Genomic DNA, 21,314 nt, shown 5'->3' with positions numbered 1-21,314 from the left:
AAATGCAACCTTCTATCAGTTCCATTCACAAAAGGAGAAAGGAAGGAAGGAAAGAAGGAAGGAAGCAAACAAGCCACAATAAGGCTCATGTCTTTAACTTCTCTCTCTAATAGTTACCAATCTCTCTTTTGCCAAGAGAGGCTTACAGTGGACTACAGGCAGCAGCAGCAGTCAAAGAATGACTACGGGAGACAAAGGTAACAGGACAGAGTTGAATACATATCAAGGTTCACAGAAAATAGGCATGCCAGCAATTCTGAATCATTAAGAATGTCCCATATTCTCACTGCTACTACTATTTCTAACAACAACCTTGTGTAAGAATATTTTGTTTCTCTCAATGTGCTTCCAAATATGTCATCTGACCTTCATATACTGTGTAGTCCCTCAATATGACCATTTTATATAATTCATTTGCAGAATTGTTACATATTTTAATCCCAAACTAACACCTACCACATATTTACTACCTACTCTGATGCTACTTCAAAAGCAATTCAGAATGTATATCTACTACAAGGAAATCAGATAATGTATGGTAAGACAGACTATAAATGACTTCTCAATTAGCAGTTACTTTTTGAATTAGATGAGCAACTGTTTCTCTTGCAGATATAGAATTTGTTTTTAATTAAACCAATTTAAATCACTAGGAGAGAAGATTCTATTTAATCTATTTTCTACAGAGAACGCATTCTTCCTCCTTGAAAGATTAAAGTATGGTTTACAGAATCAAGGTACAAATTTAATTTTTTTCTTTTAAAAAATGTAACAATATGTTGTTTAAAGCAGCAATGTGTTCAACAGTTACTAAGGTTAATTCTGCAAATTTGTCTGAAAACTGACTTGGGTAATTCATTCACAATGGTAAATGATGCAGACAGTTATCAGGTCACTGGAAAGTGAGTCAGCACCAATTCTATAATTATGGATTTTTCTGCAAATCTGTATTACATGTAATCACCATCAAAATTAAAAGATTTTGAATTTACCTATATTTTTAAAAAGCGTAAGAATTCTCAACCTTGTTTGGAGCATTTTAATTACCTTAATTAAACACATAAAATGTGATTGTCTAAAATTAAATTCAGTCATATCAACTAAAGAAACTTTAGAGTTTTGAATTATTCATCACAGTCACTCTTTACCTACTTTATTCTTTTTTAAAATAAGCCCCAAGAGCTTATGTGTTTCTTGCTCCCCACTATTATCTCTAAAGCCTACCTGAGTCTCTGGAGCTTTGTAGACAGTCAATAAATGTTAAATGAATGAATTGGTAAATTATATCTAAATTTAGAATCAAGAAAAGCTGCAGTTGACCCTTGAACAACACAAGTTTGAACTGCATGGGTCCACTCACATGTGTTTTTTTCCCCCAATAAAAGCTACACCAAGTGTACCTGCCTATCCTGCCTCCCATTCTATCTCCCCACCTCTTCTGCCCCTTCCACCTCTGCGAGACAGCCACACCAACCTCTCCTCTTCCTCAGCATGAAGACAATGATGAAGATCTTTATGAGAATCCACTTACACTTAGTAAATATATTTTCTTTCCCAATGATTCTCTTAATGTTTGCACTTGTCTAGCTTATTTTATTGTAAGAATACAGCATATAAAACATATAACATGAAAAATATGTATTAATTGTTTATGTTATCAGTAAGACTTCTGGTCAACAAAAGGCTATTCGTAGTTAAGTTTTGGAGGAGTCAAAAGTTATATACAGAGATTTTGCTGTGTGGGGAGTCAGAGCCTCTAACCCCCATGTTGTTCAAAGACCAATTGTATATAAGTGTTATGGTTTGAGTGTTTTTGGCCCCTCCAAAACTCATGTTGAAACTTAATCCCCAATGCCACAGTGTTGAGAAGTGAGGCCTAACAGGAGATGTTTATGTCTTAAGAGTTCCACCCTCATGAACAGATTAACACCACTATAAAAAGGGCTTGCAGAAGTGGTTTTGTTCTCTTGCTTCTGCTCTTCCATCATATAAAGACACAACATCCGTTCTCTCCAGAGGACACAGCAAAGAGGCATCAATGCATGGCTTCATCAAGACATCTCTTAGAACCAGAGATCAAACCTACTGATACCTTGATCTTGGACTTGGCAGCCGCCAGAACTGTGAAAGAATACATTTCTGTTCTTCATAAATTACCCAGTCTCCGGTATTCTGTTATAGCAGCACATAACAAACCAAGATATATAGTAAACTTTCAGTAAAGACTCTCCTGAAGCAAGATTATTATTTCAGTAGCCTCTGATAAATGTAGTGTCCCCCACATGACTATTACAAGTTCATGTTGTTAGATAAATCATCATTAGTCCGGAATTTATTATTGAAAATGCAGAAATATGAGGCTTCCTGCTCTAAACCTAAATAAATCTATGAAAGTGATTACCTAATCTTCCATAAATGTCAAATATCAACCTCTAGTCTTGAGTATTGAGAATTTAGGTGATTCAATAATTTATCCAACAACTATCTACTGCATGTCCAGTGTTATGCTAGGCATCCCAAATAAACATACAAATAATATCTATCTTCACGGAAAGCACAAATCTGAGAGAAGAGAGCCACATGAGTAAACAGCCAAACATGACTAGCAGAATGAACAAAATCCTACAGGAAAAGAGAAGACAACTGAAATTGGAGGCTGTGTGCACAGATGACATGACAACTGATCTGGCTGTCACAGTAGTGGGAGTAAAACATGGGAGTTGAGGAAATGCTAAGTCTAAGGTGTCAGATAAAGACTATGAACAGCAGGCGCAGCATGAGCAAAGTGCCTTAGTCTGTTTTGTACTACAACAACAAAATGCCAGAGACTGGGTAATTTATAAACAGAAATTTACTAGCTCACAGTTCTGGAGGCTGAAAAGTCTACAGTAAGGGCGCCAGCAGCCTCAATGTATTGTGGGGCCATCCTCTTCTTCCAAGATTGCACTCTGCACACTGCCCGGATTCTTACACGGCAGAGGACAGAAGGGCAAGAACCAAAAGGGGGCCAAACTCACCCTTTTATAATGGCATTAATCCCATCCATGGCCTAATAACATCTTTAAGGTCCCACCTGTTAATACTGTTACAACAGCAATTAAATTTCAACATCCAAGCTAACTGGAAGCCTGAGACGGAAGGGCATGCCACTACCCCCAGCTAATTTAAAAAATAATTTGTTTTTTTGGTAGACAGTCTCTTTATGTTGACCAGGCTGGTCTCCAACTCCTGGCCTCAAGAAATCGTCTCATCTAGGCCTCCCAAAATGTTGGGATTACAAGCATGAGCCACCGTGCTCAGCCAAAACAAAAATCTTGACTTATAAATGAACAATGGCTGATACATATGTAAACTATGAGGATATAAATCTATAATAGCTTCATCTATTCTACATTCTGGACCTGGCCTTCAAAGCTGGACATACTAAGGAAATACAATACAGACACAAATCCACTGTTACGATTAACAGGAAATTTTCAGTTACATTACACAGAGTATCCAATAAAACTTCTGCAAATGAATACAAGTAATGAAGATTTTCAGGGTACAGGTCACAGAAGTCATACATTAAGAATTCACAACATTTAGATAGCAGGAATAATACTGCTAAGAACTTTGATGCACAATCTCCTTGACCATCAAGTGACCAAATAAAGAACATACAAGGTAGAAATCTGTAATTTTTTTCTTCTAAGGAAAGCAATACTAAAAATCTATAAACATTTTTCATTGGCCCCTTCTGATTCACATACTCTCTTACTGTATTTCTTTAACTATTATATGACCATTCAACGTGTTTCTCTCAGACACATTCTGCTTCCTAAAAACACTTTCAAACATGCTACAACAGAATGTTTGCCTTCCATAGTTTATAAGCATATCATAAGTCAGGATCTATTTCTACTATCATTGCCCATCTCTCAGGAATGCATGGTTCACAACAAGCAAGTAATATTTACTGAATGACTCAAGGTATAGACTAAATTAAATAAAAATAATTTTGTTTGGGGGCTCAGGAAAGTCAATGGGAGAGATATTTTAAATAAAGTCAATGAAAAGATGAAAAGTAATTTAAAAACTGACCAAAAAAACATGATTTTATGAAAATTTCAAATAACATTATGGGTACATATTACTGTTGACAATAAACTTTGTCCAGTAGCTTCTTATCCTAAAGACTCAATTTTCAGAATGTAAAGCATAAGAAAGTAAATCAAACTTCCTGTTAAACATAAGAAACAAAGGTATGAGTCAAAGTAAACAAGAAAACAAAAATGAGTGACCTAAGCAAAATGTCGGCCATCCAAACACTGCATGTTCTATAAAAGAATTAACAGACTAAATAACTCAAGTGATAAGCTATGTTCTAAACTGCCTAGAGTTGTGCTGTCCAATGAGGTAGCCACCAGCACATTTTACACAATTAAAACTACATAATTAAAATTAAAAATTCAGTTGCTCAGTCACAGCCACATTTGACAAGACAAATTAAAAAGAAAATTTCCCATCATTGCAGAAATTCTATCTTTAGAATTTCTTATGAAGAATAAAGCTCCCTTGGGCTTTTTAGTTGGGCCTGCTGAATACTTAGGCCAGCAATATCTGGCCTAAGGGATAGTAGGCCCCACTAAAGAGCCAAAGAGAGCTTTCATTCTTCATAAGATATTTTTCTATCAAGGAAATAAGAGTATTTTGCTTTAGTATTTAACTATTCTTATTGACTACTAAAAACAAAAGAATTATTTGTATCATGTATGTGAGGTATAGACAAATAATGGAATAAAAATATTCTCTCCTGGAGGAGTAACCACAATGCTGAATTTAGTTTTTATCATCCCTTGCTTTTTGAAACAATTCTGGCAAATACGTTTCCCTAAAAATGTATTGTTTTGTCTGGGTAACTCTCTATTAGTGGAATCATGATTTTTCTTTATATTACATATTCTTTTCACTATTTTCACTAACTCTGAACTTCATTCTCGTTCATATAAATATTAATACTACAATTTAAAACAATTCTGGCAAACACATTTCCCTAAAAATTTATTGTTTTGTCTGGATAACTATTAGTGGAATCACGGTTTTTCTTTATATTATGTATTCTTTTCACTATTTTCACTAACTCTGAACTTCTCTCATCCATGTACATACTACTACTACTCGATACAGTACAATGAACCGAGTTTTGTTCAGAGAAAAGTAGAAATGATCATTGCAGTATTGAAGCTGTGCAAGTTACAAACACAAGACATAAGGTTCCAAATGATTCTCTAACAGACAAATGCATGCTTTTTAATATACATTTATGAGAATAGCTTCTTCATGCATCGAAGACAGATCTTTGTTACCGTACATATTTTATCTTTTTTAATTTTTTTAATTATTGTGCAGCGGTTGTCAAAGAGTGGTCCCGCAACCAGTAGCATCAGATCATATGAACCTGTTAGAAATGCAAATTCTGTCTGCCCTATCTCCAAGCCAGTAAGTTGAAAACTCTGAGGATGAAGTCAAGCAGTCTGTTTTTAAAAATCCTCCAGGTGATTCTGATATGTGCTACAATTTGAGAAGCTCTATAGAAGTATCCTAACATCAGTATACATAAGATATTAAAAACATGAACAAACACATTTCTAACGTTTAGCCAATACTCAATTGCCAAAAACAGATTACTTTTTCCTTTTGTTGAATTTTACAAACTTCAGCTCAAAAATACTGGATTCAAAACAATTTCAACAGCCAAAACACACACACAAAGCTACAAACGCTGTCTCCACCTCTCTGTGTGTGTGTGTCTCTCTCTCTCCACACATACATACACACACACACACACACAGAATATCGAATTTTTAAATTAACTGTTTTCTAATTCCGTTCAGAGTGGAGGGCAGTGGCATGATCTTGGCTCACAGCAACCTCTAGCTCACTGAGACCTCAACCTCTGTCTCAGCCTTCCGAGTAGCTGGGATTACAGGCACATGCCATCACTCTTGGCTACTTGTTATATTTTTAGTAGAGACGGGATTCTGCCACGTTGCCAAGGCTGGTCTCGAACTCCTGGACTCAAGCAATCCGCCCACCTCGGCCTCCCAAAGTGCTAGGATTACAGGCATAAGCCACCACACCTGGCCTTTTATTTAAAAAAACAAACAAACAAAAAAATTTTCCCCCATATGTCCTGCCAGTACCTTGCAACATCTTGATTTTGAACTTCTGTCCTCCAAAAGCGTCAGGGAACAAATTTGTTATTTTAAGTCACCCATTTTGTAGTAATTTGTTATGGCAGCCTTAAGAAACTAATGTAACTGCTCAATATAACCTTCTGCAAAGATGGAAATGTTCTAAATCAGCACTGTCCAATATGGTAGCCACTAGATACATATAGCTATTGAGCACTTGAAATGTGGCTAGTGCAAATGAGGATCTAAATTTTTATTTTAATTAATTAAAATTTTAAAATATGTCCCCTCACATTTTTTCCTTGAGATTTTGTGGAGGGAGGAAGAAACTAGTTGTCTGTGCTATACAGTGTCCCACAATCTCAATTTTTCTTGCTACTAACAGCAAAGTTGTATCTCCTTGCTATTCTTTACTATTTTCATCTTCAGTATTTCCCTTAAGTTACTAGGTGAATTTAGATGTTTGATCTGATTAAGATTCAACTGTCTGGGTGGGAGAGACCACTTCACACGTGGTACTGTCTTACATCAGGAAGCAAATGTGTCTAGCTGTCTTCTGGTAATATTAGTATTCATGATGCTCAATGCCTAGATTCATTGATTTATTAGGGCTTAAATACAAATTTGTAACATTATAATTTTATAATTCCTTCCTCATGTATTAGCTGTAATAGTTCTATAAAAAGAAACTTCCTCCCAGCACTTTGGGAGGCCGAGGCGGGCGGATGACGAGGTCAGGAGATCGAGACCATCCTGGCTAACATGGTGAAACCCCATCTCTACTAAAAATATTTAAAAAAAAAAATTAGCCAGGCGTGGTAGCGGCCGCCTGTACTTCCAGCTACTTGGGAGGCTGAGGCAGGAGAATGGCGTGAACCCGGAAGTCAGAGGTTGCAGTGAGCCGAAATTGCACCACGGCACGCTAGCCTGGGTGACAGAGCAAGACTCCATCTCAAAAAAAAAAAAAAAAAAAAAAAAGAAACTTCCTTTTATCTACTATTTAGTTGTCCAACGGTACAGTTCTTATAGAAAAGACAGAATGAATGCTCAATTCTTTCCTTCCATTTTCCACTTTAAAAAAAAATGACTGTTTCATTAGCATCCTCCACCAGTGTAACTAGTGATCTTATAAAGAGTCATTATGAACTCATCCATTTAAACATATACGGTGTGGCTCAATCCATTGCAAATATCATCTTTATTCCTGCTCAAGTTGTCCCATTTTTAGCCAAGCTATTAGTTTTTCAAATTGGACCCTGAGTCCTTCTGCAAAAGCCCAGTAGTGTTTGAAGCTTCCTATTATCTAGTGTGACAAGATGTTCCATGTTTCTCTTGTACATTTCTTGCCTCAGATATAAAACCAGCCATTTGCCCAAGTATCTGATTATATTTAGCGATAAATACGTAGGAAGCTCAATTTAGATACAAAGAAAATTTGACTTTTAAAACCTAAAGTTTTATTAAAATTATTACTTGTAATTGGCTATCTGTTGGTTGTCTGATATAAAAGTTTAGCAGTGCCTCACATTAAATAGCAGGAAACAAACAAAAAACAAACAAACAAAAAAAACCCCTAGTTTTTAGCATATGCTTAGCTACTGGCATATTTTATTTTTTAACATATTCACACAGATAATACAGCTAGGCAGGCTTTATTAGGTAAATTCATTTTTTTAGAATAATGAGATTCTAATAATTTGAAATTGCTAAAAGAAATTTCAATCATTATGTGGCTAGTTATTAACAATCATTAAAAGACCCATCATTCACAGATATTTTCCTTCTCAAAGTACAGGAATGCCATTGTATAGAAAGTTTATCATTAACTATTTTAAATGCAAGGTTTAACAGCAAATTCAATCACTCTAATATGGCTTTAATTCTTGCTTTAGACTACATTTTGTCAGCTACAGATAAAAGCATTTTGATTACTAATATTTTAAAGACCTGTTACCATACCCTTATTATTAGATCATGGCCATAAGCCAAATGCCAGTACATAAATTCCAATGTCAAAATGAACTTAATCTACTAATCACAAAAGATACTATAAACATGTTGTTGCCCTTTGTACATAAGCTAAAAATGTTTGCTATATATTGTCCCTTACTAACATTTTATGAATATTGCAAATGTTTTCATTAAAGAAAATGATGGGAAAACATTTATAAAATTAAACCAAATATATTTTAAGGAGGTCCACTATTCGAAACTCAAGAGCCACATGGCTAATGATTTTTTAAAATGTATTAAACAAATACATTCTGTAAATGGCTTAACTACAAAAGCAAAGATAGCTTCTAAATGAATTTTTTGGTAATGCCTTACCACACAAATTTAACCAATGATAAAACTTTTTCATAAAAATCACTTAGAAAGCGGATCTAAGTAAAAGGTTGGTAGAGAAAAAAAAATACGAAATTAGTTGTCAAACAATTTAGGGCTGGAATCCTAACTCTGCCTCATTACTTTTTCAACTACAGACCAGTCTTCCAACCCATTTGTTTCTTATTTTCCTCCTATATAAAAACTTACAAACTAGTATCTAACCTCTAGGATTGCTGTAAATATTAAAGCAGGATTGTTGTAAATACTAAAGTACACAGAAGTACTTTGCACAGTATCTCTCAAAGAATCTAACAAAGTGGATATTTAATAATTTTGTTATTCTTCCTTCTCTCAAAAACATATGCAGTTTCATTAAACCTTCTGTAAAGTATCTTTTTATTTTTAAAATTTTATTTTGACATAATTTGCAAGAGTACAGAAAAGCTGCAAGACTAGCACAAAGAATCCCCATAGAGTCTTCACCTAAATCCCACATGTGGTAACATTTTACCACAATTACTTTATCCTGTTCTTTTTCAAAGAATCACATTTGCTATAACCATTTTTTCCTCTCTGTTTTCCTGTCTACCTGCATATGTTTTCTGAACCATCTGAGAGGAAGTTTCAGACATGATACTTTATTACTCTATATATTTCAGTGTGTTTCCTAAAAAGAATATTTTCTTAAAATCAAAATACAATTTTCAAAATCAGGAAACTTAAAACTTAACACCAAAACAATACTACCATTTAATATACAGGCCTTATTGAGATTTTACCAATTGTCCCAATAATGTCCTTCACAGGAAAAGAAAAGCCACGAACACTGAACGCACTTATTTGTGGCATCTTTAATCTGAGTAATTCCTAAATTTTTGTCTTTCATGATATTGACATACTTGAAGAGTACTTCTCAGTTATCTTGTAGAATGACCTTTAACGTGAGCCTGTCTCATTCTCATGATTAGATTCAGGTTTTAGATTTTTGGCAGGAATAACACAAAAGTGATGGTGTCTTCTCAGTGCTCTATATCAGGAGACACTTGTCAACTTGTCCCTTTACTGGTGATAAAACTTTAATCACATGGTTACAATCCTGTCAGCAAAATTTCTCCACTGTAAAGTTACAACTTTCTCTCTGGAAATAGTATCTTGTGAGGCAGTATCTTCAATCTATCTATGTAAGTATCTTGTTACTCATCAAACTTTCACTTTGGTAGTTTTTAACATCCATTAATCAATTACTAACCAATGCATGAATCACTTATTACCATAATGGTTGCCAAATGGTGATTTTCTAAATCTATTGTTCCTTTTATATACATTAGTTGTTATTCGACTACAAAAGAGGAACATTGCCCTCTTCATCTATTTACATCTGTATGTACTCATAGATTCTTATTTTATTAATGTTATAAGCCATCACTATTATTATTTATTTTGATGCTGACAGTAGCACAGATAAGGCCAGTGGGAGTCCTACAAATATCCTGTGCCCTTTTGCTCATCCCTATTATTCTTTGAGCACTCCTGACTTTCTCAGATGTCAATGCTTTGTATGTACCTCTTACCAGATACAGCTTGGAAATAAATTAATGTATACACATGCATACATACTCATACATACACATTCATATATGTACACACCTGTCTCATCTATAACTATTTTGATTGTTGATCGACTGACAGATGGGAGGGAGGGAGGCGGGAGGGAAATGAGTTTACATTGATACTATGAACTCTAGTGGAAGATTACAGGATCTCTTCCTTCGAGTCTTCTCCCTTTCTACTTTTAAAACTCCCTCCTCCAACAAAAACCTGGCTTCTATTACCCATAAAATATTTACCTATTTGCTCAATCCTGGTATACCACAGAACATAGTTTTGGTTTGCTAGCCCATAGCTCTCCAGGAAAACGGAAAGCCTAAAAACTAGAGTTCAATATTTTTTAAAGTTACTTTTGTCTTCAGTCCTGAAGCTATATAGTCCAAACACTGTGTTCAAAAGTTGTGTTAGTCTGTTCCCCTCCCCTCCATAACTATGTTACTCATTTGAAATACAGATGAGTTCATTTGTCTCTGCTTTAGTCTATTTTGATTCTTCTCTGTGATTTTTTTAAGTATGAGAAACATTAACGTGGTTCCAAGTTAGAACTATATACAAAGGTATACTCAGTACTGTCACAACCTCCTCCATTTCCTTTCATCAGATTCCCATCCCTCATTATTTCTACCCTAAACCTACTAACTGTGTCTGTGGTTCCTGGCTTATCTTTTCTATGGCTCATTTGCAGACAGATGTATATTATCTTATCTTGGCTTCTTTACTACCTAAGCAAGTGTGGTATAGATGCTCTTTTACACTTTGTTTGCTGTACTTAATCACACAATCCTAAAATCACTATCAATTCATAGAAGTTTCCTTGTTCTTTTTCACATCTGCATTTTGTGGCTATACCATAGTTTATATAATCACTTTCCTATGTACTGACAACTAGGTTGTCTCCTAGATATAACTGTATTTTGCAATTACAAATAATACATATTATTTTATTGCTGGAAGCAAATCTTCAGGGTGAATGCCCAGAAGTGGAATTGCTGGATCAAAAGAAAATGCATATGCAGTTCTGTTAGATGCTGCCGAAGTTCCTTCCAAAAGGGCTGTACTAATTAGCATTCTCATTAGCAATGTACAGGAATGAATCACAGACATTTTAGTGATGGAGAAAAACGTTTTGAGCCATAAATCACTAAGCATAGGTAACTCACTTCTTTTATAACAGCTTTATTGAGATAAAATTCATATACCCTATAATTCACCTATTTAAAATACACAATTCAATGGTTTTTAGTATATTCGTAAGAGCTGTGCAACCATCAAATTACCACAAGCAATTTTATAATATTTTCATTACCCCTTCCTCCAAAAACCCCATATCCCTAGTGGTCATACCCCCTTCTTCCATCTACTCCCGCTACCCAACTCTAGGTAACCACTAATCTACTTTCTGTCTTTACACATTTGCCTAGTTTGGACATTTCATAAAAATGTTTGGATCTTGGTTAACCAAGGGTAACTGAATCCCCAGAAAGTGAAACTACAGATAAGGGAAGACTTCTCAGAGTCCAGAAATATTAAATGGAAAATTCCAGAAACAATTCATATGTTTTAAATTGTGTGCCATTCTTAGTAGCGTCTGAGTAGCATGGTGAAATCTTACACTTTCCCACTCCAACAGAATATGAATTATCCCTTTGTCTAGCACAAACCAAAAATAAAATTCTAAGCCCCCCAACTAACTGCATGGACCCCTCCTCTCAGCCCAGGGCATTCTAAAGTAAACCTGAAACAGTAGTTCAGGCCATGGTGGGAACTGTCCATAACTTTGACCTATTTTTCTGTTGGGTGTCTTGCTGTTTTCTTTTTCCGCCTTCTTTTTTTTTCTTTTTTGAGATAAAGTCTCGCTGTCACCCAGGCTGTAGTCCAGTGGCGTGATCTCGGCTCACTGCAACCTCCACCCCTTAGGTTCAAGCGATTCTCTATCTCAGCCTCCCTAGTAGCTGGGATTACAGGCACCCACTACCACGCCCAGCTAATTTTTTTTTTTGTTTTTAGTGGAGATGGAGTTGCGCGATGTTGGCCTGGCTGTTCTTGAACTCCTGACTTCAAGTGATCTACCCACCTCGGCCTCCCAAAGTGCTGGGATTACAGGCGTGAGCCAAGGCTCCCAGCCCACCCTCTATTTTCAAAGATTCTTTATACATGAAGGATAGCCCTTATTTCTGTGATAAATGTTTTTCTTACAATTTTTTGTTTGTTTGTGTTTTGAGACAGGGTCTAACTCTTGTCGCCCAGACTGGAGTGCAGTGGCACAAACACTACAGCCTCAACCTCTCAGGCCCAAGCAATCCTCCCACCTCAGCCTCTCGAGTAGCTGGGACAATAGGCGTGGACTGCCATGCCCAGCTAATTTTTTTTTTTATTTTTTGTAGAGACAGGGTCTCCCTATGTTGCCCAGGCTGGTCTCAAATTCCTGGGCTCAAGCATTTCTTCTGCCTCAGGTTCCCAAAGCGCTGAGATTACAGGCATGAGCCACCACGCCCAGCTGTTTTCTTCCAATTTTCTATCTGTCTTTTGACTTTGTAATTACTGTTTTTTCCCCATGCAAAAGTCTTATCTTTAATTTTTACATAGTCAAATGTATCAGTCTTTCCTCTTTTTACATTGGGATTTGAGATATAGAGAAAAACTCTCCTTACACAGGTTGCAGAAGAATTCATCCATATATTCTTCCTATATTTGTAGTTTCATTCTTTTACATTGGGATCTCTGTTCCATTGTTTCATTTAATGGGCCAAAGATAGTAATCTTGTTTTTTTTTTTTTTTTTTTTTTTGAGATGGAGTCTCGCTCTGTTGCCCAGGCTGGAGTGCAGTGGCGTGGTCTCGGCTCACTGCAACCTCCACCTCCCGGATTCAAGCAATTCTCCTGCATCAACCTCCCGAGTAGCTGGGACTACAGGTGCGCGCCACCATGCCCAGCTAATTTTTGTATTTTTAGTAGAGATGGGATTTCACTATATTGGCCAGGCTGACCTCGAACTCCTGAACTCGTGATCCACCCACCTCAGCTTCCCAAAGTGCTGGGATTACAGGCATGAGCCACCACTCCCAGCTGTAATCTTTTTTCCAAATGGTTAACCATTTATTAAAAAGTCCACCTTTACCCCAGTGCTCTGAGATGCCAAGTTTACCATACACTGTTTCAATATGCTCTTAGGTCTATACCTTAGTTCTATTCCACTAGTCTGTCCACATGACCTTTTTTAAAAATCTAATTCACAAAATGAGACAGACTAAATGTAGCTTAAGATTCCTTCCATCTAACTCTTAAAAGGAAAGTTAAACCACACACACAGCCACCATTAATTAGGTTGCCTATATGTCTGGATATGCCTTCTCAAGTGTCTTTTGCTCATCACCCCAACTTCTAAATGCTGAACTGCATACACAGTCTTCTGATCTCGTCTTCATCCTATACTCTCAACACTCACTCCAATCCCACAGATTAAATTTGCATTATCTATTCAGATGACTCCCAAATTGATAACTCCCACTCACATCTCTACCCAGAGATCAAGACCAGACCAATTCTCCACTAATATCTCCAAATGGGCGAGGTGCAGTGGTTCACATCTGTAATCTCAACACTTCTAGAGGCCGAGGTGGGAGGATTGCTTGAAGCCAGGAGGTGGAGGCTGCAGTGAGCCAAGATCACATCACTGCCCTCCAGTCCGGGTGACAGAATGAAATCTCGTCTCAAAAAAAAAAAAAAAAAAAATCTCCAACTGGATGTCTAATAGTATAGTGTATCTAAACGTGGTTTCCGAATCATATGTCTCAAAAAAGAAACCAAAACCTGTTCCTCCAGTTTTCTTCATTCTCAATTAATAACAGCTCTATTCTCTTTCTGTAGCACGGGCCCAAGATCCTCAGTTCTACCTCCGATATATATCCAAATTTTAATCACATCTTCTGTAGTCTCCTAACTGGTCTCTTCTTTCTACCCTATTCTCTACACAGCAGCCAGAGTGATCCTACTGAAGTTTATGAAACGAAAATAGATCTCAGGACCCCAAAATCACTAAGCCAAGGGAAAAGTCAGGCTGGGAGCTGTGTCAGGCAAACCTGCCTCCCATTTTATTCCTAAATAAGATAGTTACAAACATAAAAAGCTACATATCTCCCTCACAATTTGCCCACAAGGAAATTCCTTGTTGACAAAGGACAAACAGAACACAGTCATCCCTCTGAGGCTCACCTGAGACAAATACATATAACTGCTTCCTCTGCCCTATTGTTTATGAATGCAGATTAACTGAGCCAGACTAAAGTGTCTATTCAGTGGAAGGCTAACCAAGGACTCAAAAGAATGCAACCTTTTGTCTCTCATCTACTTAAGACCTGGAAGCCCATACCTCAAGTTGTCCCGCCTTACCAAACCAAACCAAACCAATGTACATCTTACACATAATGACTGATGTCTCATGTCTCCCTAAAATGTATAAAAGCAAGCTGTCCCCAGCCACCTTGAGCACATGTCATCAGGACCTCCTGAGGCTGTGTCACTGGCACATCCTTAACCTTGGCAAAATACACTTTCTAAATTGACTTGAGACCTGTCTCAGATATTTGGGGTTCACGAATGAAAGTCAGATGTCACTGTCTCTTAGTCTTGTCATTTCACTCAGAATAAAAGCCAAAGCCATGTTGTACAAACCAAATAGCCATGTTTCTCAAATTGACTGAAAAGCAATCTTATTCCTCTTAGCTTAGTGCTATAAAAGTGATATGAGGCCAGGCACAGTGGCATGCACCTGTAGTTTCAGCTACAGGAGGACTGCTTGAGTCCAGGAGTTCAAGGCTGCAGTAGCTATTACTGTACCTGTGAACAGTGACTACACTCCAGCCTGGGCAACACAGTGAGACCCCCATTTCAAAAAAAAAAAAAACAAAAAAAGGTAATATGAATGGATGCAAAGGAAAATAATGAGAGCCAGCTTTTTCAACTTTTTCTTATGAAACACAAGCCACAAAACAAAAATCAAAATTACATTCTTGACTGCGCGCAGTGGCTCACGCTTATAATCCCAGCACTTTGGGAGGCCAAGGCAGGTGGATCACCTGAGGTCAGGAGTTCGAGACCAGCCTGGCAAACATGGCAAAATCCCATCTCTACTAAAAATACAAAAATTAGCCAGGCGTTGTGGCACATGCCTGTAATCCCAGCTACTCAGGAGGCTGAAGCACAAGAATCATTTGAACCTGGGAGGCGGAGGTTGCAGGGAAGCCAAGATCGCACCACTGCACTCCACCCTGGGCCACAGAGCAAGGCTCTGCCTCAAAAAAACAAACAAACAAACAAACATAATTAGCAACCAATGAGAAGCTAAAATGATATTTTTTATCTAGCTAAAAGACAATTTCCTCTACTTAACTCGCTTAAAAAAAAACAACATTCACACTTTTCTGGAAATTCTACTATGGTTACTATGTTTAAGTTCTTCCCAGATAAGAAAGGTTCCAATGGCTAGAAAGCATCTGCCTTGATACTTGATCTTCAATTTGTATCCTAGTGCAGTTGAGCTGTACAACCCCAGCCCCTCCATCCTCGGCAATTTGTTAATTTTTTCTTGAAACCAGAACAAGTCCCAATGATCTGATCCTCTACTTTCTCTCCTTTAGGTTTGTACTAATACCTTACATATAAAAGTGAGCAAAAAACCAAGAGCAAGGAAAGAAGTACATCCGGTCCTTGGCAGACACAGTTCTGCCTGTCCTCCTCACTCAATGAATTAAACAGATACACAAACAGAAGAAGGAGAAGGAGCCAGAGTTAAAGAAAGGCAAACAAGAGCCAAGAGTTTCAGGAACTACACAGAACCATCAAATCAGTAAGCTAATTATGTTCCATCCAATACCAAAAAATGTCCTTGACAAGTATTTCTCAATTGGCGAATCCAGTCTCTATTCTCAATAATCAAAATCCCAACTTCAGCGTTTTTTTTTTTCTTTGTATTTACAGAAAAATTACTTCACACCAGGACAGGCTCACAGGTAGTCAAAACAATGTTCACTAGCAAGGTATATTATAATTTAATCCAGTTCATTTAAATATTTCTAATCACCATCAATAATTATGAAACCAAGTCAACTTAATATTTTTTTTTTGGTGGGGGAGGGGAAGGGCACGGGGGGACCGAGTCTCGCTCTGTTGCCCAGGCTGGAGTGCAGTGGCACGATCTCGACTCACTGAAACCACTGCCTCCCAGGTTGAAGCGATTCTCATGTCTCAGCCTCCCGAGTAGCTGAGATTACAAGCACCTGCCACCATGCCTGGCTAATTTTTGTATTTTAGTAGAGACAGGTTTTCACCATGTTGGCCAGGTTGGTCTCAAACTCCCGACCTCAAGTGATCCACACACCTAGGCCTCCCAAAGTGCTGGGATTACAGGCGTGAGCCACCGTGCCCAGCCAACTTTTTTATTCCAAAAATACTTCTACTATTCAATAAGTTCTTGATACCTTAATTTATAATTATTGACACTACAGTTCAGGTTCAAACACATTTAATATATATAAGCCATTTACTTTTATATTTTCTCAAATTTTGCTATGTGAGAAAAAAAATAAGTGAAAGTGTTTTTAGTATCAAAGTCACCTGAAGGAAAAATAACAACAGTCCGTGTATCTGGTAGTCGGACATCAAGTGACTGCAATCAATCAACTATACCCAGAGACTAACAGAGAAATAAGATAGAAAAAGAGTTTCAACAAAGCTCATGCATTCTTCTCCACAAGAAAAGCAAAAACCATTCCCATGGTCTCTTGTCATATATCAACACAATCTCTGATTTTAACAAGGCTTAGCTACCTTATTAATCTTAGGGGGTCCATTTTTAGCAGGTTAGATTACACAGCATGATATTAGGTTGGTGCAAAAGTAACTGCGGTTTTTGCCATTGAAAGTAATGGCAAAACCTAGGTTTTCTGCCATTGAAAGTAATGGCAAAACCTAGCTTTTTTGCCATTGAAATTAATGGCAAAACCTAGCTTTTTTGCCATTGAAAGTAATAGCAAAACTTAGGTTTGCACCAACCTAAATAGAAGCCAAAAAAAATAGGGCAACTAAAAATTCACAAATTAAGAAATAACTATAGTTAATAAGGAAACAAAATGCTACATATAAATGCACACTAGTGTAAAAAGATTAGCATATAATCAAACATTCCTTTCAACCTTCATCATAAGACTATAAATTATCACTATATGGTCTCATGATGCAAAATACAACAAATATTCATGACTGTATCCCTGTAAAACTATATATTTGGTAAGTTTTAGAAAATAAAATACAATTGCAATACATTTTCTAAAGATTTCAATCAAAAATCACTAATATAAAATATTACTTCTTCAAGAAAATTCACATAAATATAACTTATGCTATCAGAGCCAGTGACTAATTGTATGTTAATTATTAACCATCAAACCATTTCCCATCATGGATAACTGCAAGAGTTTTTTTCACTCGACTTGCAATAAGAGAATAACTATCCTGCAAATGGGGAATATCCCTAAAGTTTTATCAGACCCAAAAAACCCTGGCACTCCTCTAAGCCCTAGACATTTCCCTAGACCTGCTCAGTAAACAAAAGCAAAGAGCAAATGGTGATTTTGAACTTAATTCTGTATTTTAACTATTTCTTCAATGAATATTTATTACCATTTCCAGATATAATATACATGCAAATAACTAATGATTCTTTTCCAAACAGGATGAAAAAAATTCTAAAAATATTTGATTCAGCAGCTAGTTTCACCTTCCTCTTCATTCAGATTGTGGAAAGAAAAATCTCAAAAAGTTTTTGTAGTACCAAAAACTTCCCAAGTTTGTAATAAATGGGTCTAAAAAGTGAGAACTGTATTTTGCATTTGCATACAGTAGTGTTGCTCAAAACTGGGTTACTGTTTCAATATTTTCTAATAAATCAAAATAGCAAAACTTCTACCAGGTCCCTAGAATTACTTTCCTTGCCATTTTTACCAATATTTACTTCTTGGGAAAAAAAAATAGAAGAGCATAATATAATTAATACATAGATTCAGTCAAGCCAAATATGAGGAAACTGAATATAACATAGAAATGATACTATATGTCCCATTCTCAAGAAAGGTTTCACATAAGAATTAAGTGCTAGTGCCTTTAGTCATCCACTGTAGGCATCTCCTAAGCATCTAGAATACTACCACTTAAGTGTCATTCTTGAGAGAACTGAAAAAACAGTCACCTAAATCATTTTCTGGATTCTTCAGTTTAAATGAATAGTGGTTGGGAAAAGATCTATACAAAATTATCACTGGCTCTGGGACCAAACATTAAAAATAAGAGTATCCCTGATACAGGACATTATCTATGGTGACTACTTATACAACTTATTAAAAAGCTAAATAAATGATCTATTATTTGAATATGATTTTTACCACTGATCCATTTAAAATTAAAACCATCAATCAACTAGTTGTTACCAGGTATTAACTATGTGCCTGGTCCTTTATTATAAGGCACAAGAGTACAAAAATTCTGACCACAAACTTATTACTAAGGCAATAAGTTCAACACACAACACATAAACAAAAATGTGTAAAATCTTATTAAGCTCCAAATGATTTAATACATAAATGTTAATCAAGAGTTAGAGAAGGAAGAAATCCCTGTTGGTTATAAAAGTCAGGGAAACTTCATGACAAAAGTAAAACTTGAGTAGTGTTTAGAGAGGCTGAAAAATGAAAAGACATGCCAGGCAGGAGATACATCTTGAGCAATGGCTGGGAAGCAAGCATGAACAGCCACAGAGCAAAACCAGGAGTGAAAGTTGAGATTGAGAATGGAAAAGAGAGAGAGAAAGTTGGTGAGGTAAGATAAGGATCTTGAAAACAGCAGGCAGATCACAGAGTCTGGGAATTTATTTTTGTCACCAGTTTTTAAGCGATACCAAATTCTAAGCTGAGTAATTTGTAATGATTTTTATCTACTCTTAAAATTAGAAGCAACTCATATCAGAATGCATTACACCACACTGATTCTACCAAAACTTTAGACAATTTTAGGCCAGCTAAAACATTACATGGTACATTCTTCGAAACTTGTTCTTGAAACAGCAGACTTGAGAAGAGAAAACCTCATACAAATAAAAGTTCTGAAGGAAAATTAGCACTGAGGTGGAACTCAAAACATATTTGCGCTCAAGTTACAGCTCAAAATATATTTGACCTCAAGTTAAAGCTAATACTAAATGCTTATTTTCCTTGACTGCTAGTCTACAGATGTATGCTTATTCCTTTCCTGTCAACACACCCAGCACTTCAAAAGACCCAACCACTCTGCCAAAATTTTTGCCTTCAAAGAACCTTTGTTGCCATAGCAATCTCATGTTCTCCCAGGAACCAAGTTACGATACATACATGAACGCTGCCCAATCTCCCCAATTCCTCCTTGAGACACAGGGCATAGCCTAGCACAACTACCAATTTCTACTCGTTATAACACAGGGTATCAAATAGTATTTGACAGTTCATAAAGAACAAAGATTACTTAAAAATAAGTAGGTGCATCCAAAAGGGTGAGAGAAGGTTGTGGGTAGGAACCTCCTTTCATATTACAAAGCAGATGCCCTAAAGTATGAAAGCCAATGAAATAAAACACTGAGTCCAAATCAAACTTAATCAAAGAGCTCCCTCTTTTCACATATCTCAAAACACTCTTCCTAAAAAATAAAGCAAAGATAAAAACCATAGAAGCCTGGCACTTTAGTTAAGAATGTCCCCATCCTTATATTTTCACTTGACTAAAGATTTAACTCCTGAATCAAAAACAACAAAGCTAAATTCTGCCTAGAACTAAGCTTTCCTCAGACAAAAAGCAGCATATACTGTCAAAATTTCATAAAGAACGTATCTGCTAATAAATGGCACATGTGGAAAAACCACAGCCAGAGTTCAAGGGTGTGTTTCCAGATGTAAAATACTTCTGACCCAAAGAAATTGTTTTTTCATCTCTTTTCAAGTTATATTGCCCCACATTCCCAAGTTGAAAAAATTTTCTGTATGCTCAATTAGTCTTCAAGTTAACACAAAATACCACGACAATAAAAAAACAAAAACAAGTACTATAATAGAAAAGGCTAGAATAAAGAGTATTTAAATGCTGGATTATCTTTTGTACTTGATTTTTATTACAATTTCAGAAAATGATTGTACAGAAGGTAAAAAAAAAAAAAAAAAAAAAAGACCTTAACACATTAAATCTGCTTCAAAGAAACACTCACTTCCAGGAAAACTCATAGATTTTTTAAATATATAAATCATGAGCATTTAATTCTTCTGTATAAACTTCATCAAATCAACAGTCTAGACACAGGCTACAATAAAGTCATTAAATGCACACATAACACACTAATTTCCACTTCATTAGGTGTTCTCACCGAACTGAATTCTTGAAAGTCGAGCTGTTCACATTATCATTCTAAATATCTGGTAGGATTCCACAGCTTAAAGAGACATAAAGATGTCTCAGGAGTTGCAATTCTGTATCAGAAAGTAACTTAAGAGATGATCTAGTAACAACCTTTTCTTTCTGTTCAATGAGAAAACTGAGGCCTAAGTAGGTTACATCACTAATTGGAAGCATTTTCTCTTATTTGAACTGTGGTGGTCTGGGTTCGCTTTTTGTTGATTTGCTTTTTACATAATTACATTCTAGTCTTTTTCTTCATGTTTCTGGGATCTTTTCTTTAACATGGATAGTAATGTTGACTGTCCCCACTGCCAATAAAGCTGTTTTCTCTCTTCAAAGGAAGCTGTCCAACATGAATTGAAGATCAGTAACTCTAAAGACTAAAGGCGACTAAGAACAAAAAAAAGTTATAGTAGACTTTTATCTAATAAAGGAAAATCCGGAGTAGTGTTTAAACTGCAACACAGAGCACTCTGCTAAGCAGCACTGACAACAATTAAACCCATCAAACATCAGTTACACAAATTCAATCGTTTTCACACCTTACTAAGTAGTAAAGAGAAATCACACTTTAAAAGTAGCTAAAATTAACTACTGAAGCTGTGGCTTTCCAAGTTATTTGACCACAATTCACCATTAAACATATTTTTTTTTTTTTTTTTTTTTTTGAGACGGAGTCTCGCTCTGTCACCCAGGCTGGAGTACAGTGGCGCAGTCTCGGCTCACTGCAAGCTCC

At 36.3% G+C, this 21,314-nt stretch overlaps 1 protein-coding gene across 24 annotated transcripts in view, besides 1 other annotated feature; it reads right to left on the bottom strand.

The window, feature by feature from the left end:
- TCF12 (transcription factor 12) overlaps positions 1 to 21,314 on the bottom strand; it is a 373,221-nt gene that overhangs the window by 307,932 nt on the left and 43,975 nt on the right. The gene's annotated exons all lie outside the window — the stretch shown is intronic.
- Positions 5,947 to 6,131: a silencer, noted in NCBI's record as "fragment chr15:57269446-57269630 (GRCh37/hg19 assembly coordinates)". NCBI's record gives its function as "represses an EF-1alpha promoter that drives an FKBP-Casp9 reporter gene in an ReSE screen in HepG2 liver carcinoma cells {active_cell/tissue: HepG2}" and the evidence as "EXISTENCE:reporter gene assay evidence [ECO:0000049][PMID:32094911]".

Source organism: Homo sapiens, chromosome 15 (genome assembly GCF_000001405.40).
Source record: "Homo sapiens chromosome 15, GRCh38.p14 Primary Assembly".
NCBI lineage: Eukaryota > Metazoa > Chordata > Mammalia > Primates > Hominidae > Homo > Homo sapiens.
This window is presented reverse-complemented; position numbering and strand designations above follow the sequence as displayed.